General features: G+C 42.1%; 1 pseudogene; it reads left to right on the forward strand.

Moving 5' to 3' along the window:
• HNRNPA1P13 (heterogeneous nuclear ribonucleoprotein A1 pseudogene 13) lies at positions 2,979-4,201 on the forward strand (annotated as a pseudogene).
• Positions 4,202-9,192: the final 4,991 nt, after the last annotated feature.

Raw genomic sequence — 9,192 nt, forward strand, 5'->3', positions numbered from 1 at the left:
AAAACAGAAGATCCTGACTTTGGTCAGTGCACCGGACATTCCTGCTTAGATATCATATCAAGGAAGAAGAAATACCTAATGGCAAAGCATTAGGATTTGAGTTAGGTCATCAGCAGCCAGACCAGGAAGACGGCTCAGTGGGTTGCAGTATCTTGCTCAGGCTCCCCCAGAAAGACTCCAGAGCTGGTTGTTGGTTGGGTTCTAGTAATGGTTAAACAGTGTGTAACAGGTGTCCACAGTACAGTCAGGCCCCTTTCCTCTTCGTATTTTTCATGCCCTTGCTACTCCAGCCAAATGAAGTGACTTGCAGTTTGCAGCATGACTGGTCACACTTTGCACCCATATTTTTGCACATGCTGCTGCTTCTCTCTGGCATGTCATGATCTAATCTGGTCTCGTTCCAGCTCTGCTTCTTGCTGCCATGTCTCCCTGAGCAAGTTGCTGTTCTTTGAGTCTTAGGTCCCATTTTAAAGAGAGAACCTTGATTGCCAAAATACCTTTTAATTCTTTTATACTTGGATTTTACAAGAAAGTCTGGGTAGACATTTTTAGGTTTCAACTTCCTCTGTTCAGTCTGGTCTGTTACTTTGTTACTTCAGCAATTTTCGATATTCCAAAAATCTTGTTGATGCCACTCTCCCCTTTTGCCTACTCTGTTTTCTTTGGGCTTGCATGTAATACATCCTTTGTTCCTTAACTATTATCTTCAAAAAGTTTTGAGAGTAGTCAATATCAACATACTTGTTAATTGCCATGCTTATCATGAAGACTCCCGACATTTCTTCTTTCAAATAAGGTGATACAGTAATAGTCTAATTATTACAGATGAGGAAATAGAGGCCCAGAGAGGTTTAGAAAATTGCCCAAAGCCACACAGGTAGTAAGTGGCAGTAGAAAGATTAGAATCTAAAGGTTGCCTTTTAATAAAACCCCTGTTCTTAGTGACTAGGTTGTGCTGTCATGAACACATGACAAATGTGTTCATCTGTCGATACTGTGAACTGGGCTCCTGTTTGTCCACCTTTACATGCTGCTCAGTTCTTAGCACACTGACAACACCAACATTCTGAGCTAAAAAACGAAACAAAACAAAACAAAAAACAAAAACAAAACCCAAAAAAACACATGGACCAGGCAAAGAGACCAAAGCAAAGGATATTCTCACAGGCCCTTGAGAGGCTGATTGCCGGCCTTTCCCCCTCAAGCGCCTGTCAGAATATCCTTTGCTTCAGTCACTTTGCCTGGTCCATGATATATTATGCACAGACAGAAGTGTGCCTTTTGTCATAATTTTAATTTCTACATATAAAATATATACTCCTGTGTCCCCCTGATGTGGTGGTTGAGATTACAGTGAGGAAGACAGTGTAGGGATTTTTTTCCCCCCAAGAACACACTATCATTTTTTTTTTTAAATTGAAATTTCTACTGATGCACTTATAGATTCACATACAGCTGTACAAAACAATACAGGGAGATCTTCCTGTGTGCCCTTTCTCGCTTTCCCTGGATAGTTACATCTTGCACTTTATTCATTCTTTTAGCTGCCTAAATATTATATTGACATATTTTCATTATCAAAGATTCAAATAATATGGAAGCATAAAGGAACAAACATGGAGGTCCTTCTTTAACCACCTGGCTCTTCTCCTGGGCTCTCTCTTCACCCCAGGTGCCACTTTATTCTGCTCTGACTTCTTCTTCCTTCACACTCCTTCCTTGTTTTGTTATGATGGCCAACATGATCCTGGGGCAGAGTGGGATCTGGGGATTTCTGGCTGACTCATCACCTTCAACACTCCGGGGAATCCGGCCTCTCTTCCATGATGATCATAGGTGGCATGGGCAACCTTTGATCTCAACTCTTCTTCTAATTATCTGGCATCTTTTCAATTCCTGTTGCCATCCTTTTCTCTGTACCCAGTCAGAAAGGAATAATTTCTATTCTACAATAGATACAATAATACATTTTCTATACCTGGTAATATTAATAACAAATAGTACAAATAATTAATTAGTAGAAGACAGATATTTTATTTGTTTTATTTGACAGATATTGCCAGACATTGTTCTAAGCACTTTATAAAATATTAATTCATTTAATCCTATAGCAACTCTATGAGGAAGGCATCATTAGTATTTTTACCTTGCAGGGGAGTATATGAGGCAGAGAGAGGTTAAGTATTTTGCCCAAGGTCACACGCAGCTAGTAAATGATGGAGACAGGATGCAAACCCATCAGTCTGGCTCTAGAGTCTGTGCTCTTAACCCCTTATCAGACTCACTGAGAGTTGGAAGGTTCACCCCCTTTCCTTCCCTTCCCTTCTCTCCCCTCCTCTCCCCTCCCTTCCCCTCCCCTTTTTTAATATTGACACATTCCCCCAACATTGACACCTATCTTGCAGGCTATAAATATGTTCTAATATTTAAACCTTGAAAAGGCACATACCCTAACTTATCATTTGTCCCTGTGCACTGTCTCAAGCTCCTACCCCATCTCTCTCTTTCCTATGCTATTTCCTACAAGCCTGGAAAGACTCTTCTATAACTGCTGTCTCAATTCCTCATCTAATTCACCCTTGGGCTCACCGCAGTCAGAGCTTCTATCTCAGTCACTCAGTAGAAGCTACTCTGCCATGATCAAAACTGTCATTTCCTTTTATCTCTCCATATATTGATGTGATTAATTATATTAATGCATTTCCTACCATGGAAACATTCTGCCATTAACATCAGTTTTCATTATTTAAACTCAGTGCTGGATTCCATTTGCTAATATTTTATTTATGACTTTGGTTAGTATCAGATGGACAGACTCCTTTTTGAAACTCGGGAAACATAGGAAGTTCTTTCTAGTTCATTTAGTTTCCTTGTTAATTTATAGGGGTCAGTTTCCTTGTATAAATGGTTTTACTCTGTATGTAGTTCATGTCTCTCCCCATGGGATGTCTACCATTTACCGTTTAAAAGGTAAACAGCTTTCTGCCTGTGGATGACACTGAGGAAATATTGTTAAAGTCCCTCTTCTGACTGTCATTGTGTCTAAGTCAGAGTCTCCTAAAGAGGCTGAACAGCTGCAGAAGCTCTCCATCAAAGAGTTGGGCTTTGAAACAACCGATGAATGTATGAGGAGCCATTTTGAGCAATGGGGAACGCTCACGGACTGTGCGGTAGTGAGGGATCCAAACACCAAGCACTCCAGGGGCTTTGGGTTTGACACATATGCCACTGCGGAAGAGGAGTGGATGCAGTCATGCATGCAAGGCACACAAGGTGGATGGAAGAAACACGGAACCAAAGAGAGCTGCCTCAAGAGAAGATTCTCAAAGACCAGGTGCCCACTTAACTGTAAAAAAGATACTTGCTGGTGGCTTTAAAGAAGACACTGAAGAACATCACCTCAGAGATTATTTTGAACAGTATGGGGAAATTGAAGTGATTGAAATCATGACTGACAGAAGCAGTGGCAATAAAAGGGGTTTTGCCTTTGTAACCTTTGATGACCATGACTCTGTGGATAAGATTGTCATTCAGAAATACCATCCTGTGGGAATGGCTACAACTTTGAAGTAAGAAAAGCCCTGTCAAAGCAAGAGATGGCTAGTGCTTTATCCAGCCAAAGAGGTCAAAGTGGATCTGGAAACTTTGGTGGTGGTCGTGGAGGTGGTTTTGGCAGGAATGACAACTTTGGTCATGGAGGGAACTTCAGTGGTCATGGTGGCTTTGGTGGCAGCCCTGGTGGTGGTGGATATGGTGGCAGTGGGGATGGCTATAATGGATATGGTAATGATGCAAGCAATTTTGGAGGTGGTGGAAGCTACAATGATTTTGGCAATTACAACAATCAGTCTTCAAATTTTGGACGCATAAAGAGAGGAAACTTTGGAGGAAGAAGGTCTGGCCCCTGTGGTGGTAGATGCCAATACTTTGCCAAAGTACAAAACCAAGGTGGCTATGCCAGTTCCAGTAGCAGCAGTAGCTATGGCAGTGTCCGAGGATTTTCATTACTGCCAGGAAACAGCTTAGCAGGAGAGGAGAGTCAGAGAAGTGACAGGAAAGCTACAGGTTACAACAGATTTGTGAACTCAGCCAAGCACAGTGGTGGCAGGGCCTAGCTGCTACAAATAAGACATGCTTTAGACAAATACTCATATGTATGGGCAAAAAACTCAAGAATTGTATTTGTGACTAATTGGATAACCAGTGATTTTAGTTTCTGTTCTGTGGAAAGTATAAAGCATTCCAACAAAGGGTTTTAATGTAGTTTTTTTTGTTTTTGCACCCATGCTATTGATTGCTAAATGTAATAGTCTGACATGATGCTGAATAAATGTGTCTTTTAAAAAAATGTTCTGTGTAAAGTTAGTCTACTCTGAAGCCACCTTGGTAAACTTCCCCAACAGTGTGAAGTTAGATTCCTTCAGGGTGATGACAGATTCTATTTGGAATTTATTTACAATCTTCTGGGTAGAAAACCCATTGTCTTCAGAAACCTTGGTGTAGTTGACCTGATGGTTACTGTTGTGACCTGAAGTTTGCCATTAAGAGGGAAATCATGAATTATTTGTTATAAAGATGATTGTTAGCACATCCTATGGAATACATCTAAATTGATTAATGGTAGCAGATAAAATTAAAGATGGAAATGAAGTATGTGTATCACCCATTGTCATGTGTAATCAATAAATGATTTAATTATCTTGAACAAAGTAATAAAAGGGATAAATAAATGTGTTTTCTAATTAGCACTGAAATAGTCACATAAGGCAATATTTTCACATTGGAGCATGAAGTGTGAAAATTAGGAAAGCAAGAATCATCTGATTGGCTTTTACATGGAGTTTTTGGGGGTGAGATCCCTAGGAAATGAAGATTGGTAGGAAGAACATTCTCTCTTGAGATAAGCCAAAGAGTAATAATAATGAGGTTAGTGACCAAAAGTAAAAGACAGGTCAGTTAGAATATTTTAAGGACTTATACTATGCTTTTTATTGGGCCAAGCATATTGCATGTGTTACTTACCAGGATGTGAAGTCCATGAAGGCAAAACGATGTACATTATGTTGATTACTAGTTCATTTATAGCTCTATATGGAAGTGCTGCTATTATGCCCCTTTTACAGACGAGAAAATCGAGGTTCAGGGAGTTGAAGTAACTTGCTGAGGCTCCCCCAGAAGGACTCCAGAGTTGGTTGTTGGTTGGGTCCTAGCAATGGTTAAACATAGTGTTTAACAGGTGTCCACAGTACAGTCAGGCCCCCTTTCCTCCCCATATTTTTCATGCCCTTGCTACTCCAGCCAGATGAAGTGACCTGCAGTTTGCAACATGTCTGGCCACACTTCACACCCACATTTTTGCACATGCTGCTGCTTCTCTCTGGCATGTCATGAGCCCTGTTCACCTGGCTCACTTCTTTTGCCCTTTGAGTTTTCTTTATGTATCACCTTTTCCTTCTTCCTTCCATCACACCTCTCCCTCCTCCCTGGGGCTGGGGGAGGTGCTTTTCTCCTCTGTCCTCCATGATCATTTATGTCATGACTTCCTGCCCATTGGAGTTTCTCCAGGTTCTTTTCTGCAGGGTACTTATTGTTCCCCATTTGCACTACAGGCTACCTGGATCTCTCAGAATGGGTTTGTTGGATGAATGAAGGCTGAGAATCTCTTGCTGGTTCCTCTACAACCTGAGCCTGACCTGATGACTGGCAGTAGTTGCTGAATTCTACCCTCAACAGTGGTGCAAGTTTGGGCTTCTGGGCCCATAAACCTATATCCCCTGACCCTCTGACCATCTCTGACCCTCTTGTGAACCATCTGTTATTTCAAAAGGTATCATACATTCCTTCCAAATAAAACTTCATTTAGCTCACTTATTTGAAGAGTAATAAACCATTTAACTCATTTATAACTCACTGAACAGGAGGTTGAACACAGTTATAACAAAAATCAGGCTGAGGTCAAAACCACCCAAATTTGGGGGAATACATACAGCCCCAATAATTGGTATGAGTATATGAAAATCCCTTTGAGTTTTCTGACTGGTTCTCAAAAAGAAATTATATCCCATCTTTTTTCTTCCACTGTGGTAAATACTATGTCATTCAACTTAGAATAATTCAGTTCATTTTTATTTCCAGAGGATACATAACTGATCAGAAGATCTTCTTTACATTTAGAAACAAATATTTCTTTCTGTGGGGAAATAAATGGAAAAAAATCCAGAAAAATACATCCTGCAATTAGCTTCAGAGATATACAATTTCTAAGAAGATTCTTGCCCAGGGTATAGCAAGAACAGAAAAAGAAAAAGCCTTATTTGTACTTAAAAATTGGATGAATATTGTAGTTCTCTCTTCCATATGCAAATCTCTGTAGCATTTTGCTATTAATCTGCCATAAACTCTCAACTCTTCCTGAGACTGAACTAGCAGGTCAGGACAACACAGAGGCTGCAGTTGTCAATGCAGCATGTCAGTTTTTGAAAGCAAGTGTGTGTTCACGTGAGAGAGAGACTAACCTACCTCTCTGTGCAGGCCTGGACCAGTTCTACCAGAGTCCCAGTTGGATTCTCACCACTGAGCACTGACTTGGCACCTTGTCAGAACTCAACAATATACATAGAATGAATGAGTGAGTGAGTGAATAAGTGACTGAATGCATTCACCCTTCCAAGACATCACGCTGTGACTGGCCCATGTATATATTTTTTACACACAATGCCTCCAGAATCCTACCTATTCTTTGAGCCCAGCTACAGTGCCACCTCCTCTGTGACATACAAGAATTGTGAGAGCACTAAAGATGGAGTATCAACTCTGCCCTAAGTTATCTGAAAGCCTTCATGGAGGAGATGCCATTGGAGTTGGGTCTGCGTGAACAAAGAGGCTGCAAAGAAGGAGAAAGGAGTCTCTAGGAGGAAGTGGGGACACTCCTGCAGGTGAAGAAGCTCAGGTGAAGGGAAAGAGATATCAACACTCTTGTTGGCCTGCTCCCAGAGTCCACCAGGTCAGAGCCTCTGCAGCTCCCCAACAGGGGTGGTGACCTCTGCAGCTCCCCAACAGAAGAAGAGTCTTTCTGCCCCATATGTCTACATACCGTGTAATCAGAGTCTCTGAGCTGAGGACTTCCATGCCCTGAGTGCCAAGAGCATCTCCCAGGCTCTGCTCTAGTATGCCTACAGCTCCAATCCAGCCCCACATTCCACAAGAGCCAAGAAGCACCTGAGGTGTCTCCAGAGAGCTCTGATGGGAACATGTGAACCACCTTCTCCTGTGCCCTCATGACCCCTCAGGACCCCCCTTTCTGGTAGCCCCCAGTATACAGCACAGGGCCCAGAACATTGTAGGGCTCAATAACAACTTATGGAAGAATAACTACTTGAAACTTGGAGGTGGAGTCATTACCACAATTCCCATGTCAGGTGTAGTAGATTGTTTCTTCATTCTCAGAACTCTCAGTGGAGGGACAGCTTGGACCATTTCCATCCTCACTAAATATTCAAAGAGTAATTGCCCAGTCTGCTGTTTCTGTTTTCATCTGAGTAAACATGCCATGACATGAGGGGATAACCTCTTGTGCAAGCTGCCACCAGACACTAAATAGAGTGGCATGGTTCTGCAATCCAGATCTCATTAGGATAAAGAGAATTATCCTCATCCTGGGTATGTGGGAGAAAAATGAATGGCAAGATTAAATGTAAACTCCAGATTTACAGACACTACAGTGTGCACAGGAATTTCAATCAACCTTGAAGCAAGACTAAAGGGCAAGGTCAAAAACAAGTTTCCCATCCAACATGCTTTAGAAAGGCAATCAGTACCCAAAAACATGGCGGTGACCACTATTTTGAAATTCTTGCCAGGCCTGTTGACTTAAAGAGAAACTATAATGCGCCAATGCTCAGAGGTGGTGTATCCCTTCCTTTCTAACCACAGCGAGGTTAAATATAATGAAGAAAATACTCTGGTAGGACTTATGTAAGTGTTAGGGGAACCCAAGAGGGGCGATCAACTCTGCCAATAGTAGGACTTCCACGGGGAGGTGCCAACCAGAGCTGTGGAGGGAAAATCAGATATGCTAGAAGAAGGAATCCTAAGTGGTGGTAATGAAGAACTCAGTGGATCTATAACTGGATCTACTGAATTAGTTTTATGATGGCTGAAGGGGTTGAGATGTTAGGGTGAGTTTCATTTTGAGAGAGATAATGGACTTGGACTTGTGCCTGCTTCAGGGATTTTGGCAGGTGCTGAACTCTGCCCCTTCTCTTCTTATCACCTCCTTAGCGCCCCCTACTCCCGCTGCTCCAGGATATTATCTCTTGCCTCAGTCGCTGTCTTAGACTCCTATGATCTCTAGCATCTCTTCCTGTTCCTCCTCTATTCTATGTCCCATGGTTCCCACAGTGAGCTTTCTGAGATCAAAATCTGGCCACGGTCTTCTCAGGTTAATGCCTCCCAATCACTTCCAAAGGACACATCCGAATTCTCTGATGTATGGGGCCTGACGTCACACACCCGCATCCACATTTTCCTTCCATGGTGCCGCATCCTTCATCCATTTTGAACTTATTCCAGAACCAAGCTCTGCTCTTCTCTGCTCCTTTGCCTCTGCCTATCTTTTCTTCATTACCACCACTTAGGATTTCTTCTTCTAGCATATCTGATTTTCCCTTCACCGCTCTGGTTGGCACCTCCCCGTGCAAGTCCCCTTATTGGCAGAGTAGGTCGTCCCTCTTGTGTTCTCCTAACACTTACATAAGTCGTATCAGAGCATTTTCTTCATTGTGTTTAATTATTTGCACCCTTCGCTACCTAGTGTGTCCATGTGGGCAGACCTCAGATTTGATTGCCTGACACAGGATTCTCCTTTCCTGCCAGAGGATATGGGACATAAAGAGAGATAAAGACTGCTGTCTCCATGTGTTTCCCTTCACCTGCTGGTGTGCCACCGACATCCCTCTCCTAACACCACATGGAACTTTTAAACATTTATGTATCAGCGTTGCAGGTATAACTGACATACAATAAAGTGGAGTATTGTAAGTGCACAAGTTTTGAAAAATGCACACACCAATGTAACCGTCACTCTGATTAAGACATAGGACATTATAATCATTCCAGCAAGTTTCCTCAGGTCTTTTCCAGCAACAGGTTGTTCCTCTTATCAGACAAACACAGATCTGTTATCTAGCATAA

Source organism: Homo sapiens, chromosome 5 (genome assembly GCF_000001405.40).
Source record: "Homo sapiens chromosome 5, GRCh38.p14 Primary Assembly".
Classification (NCBI taxonomy): Eukaryota; Metazoa; Chordata; class Mammalia; order Primates; family Hominidae; genus Homo; species Homo sapiens.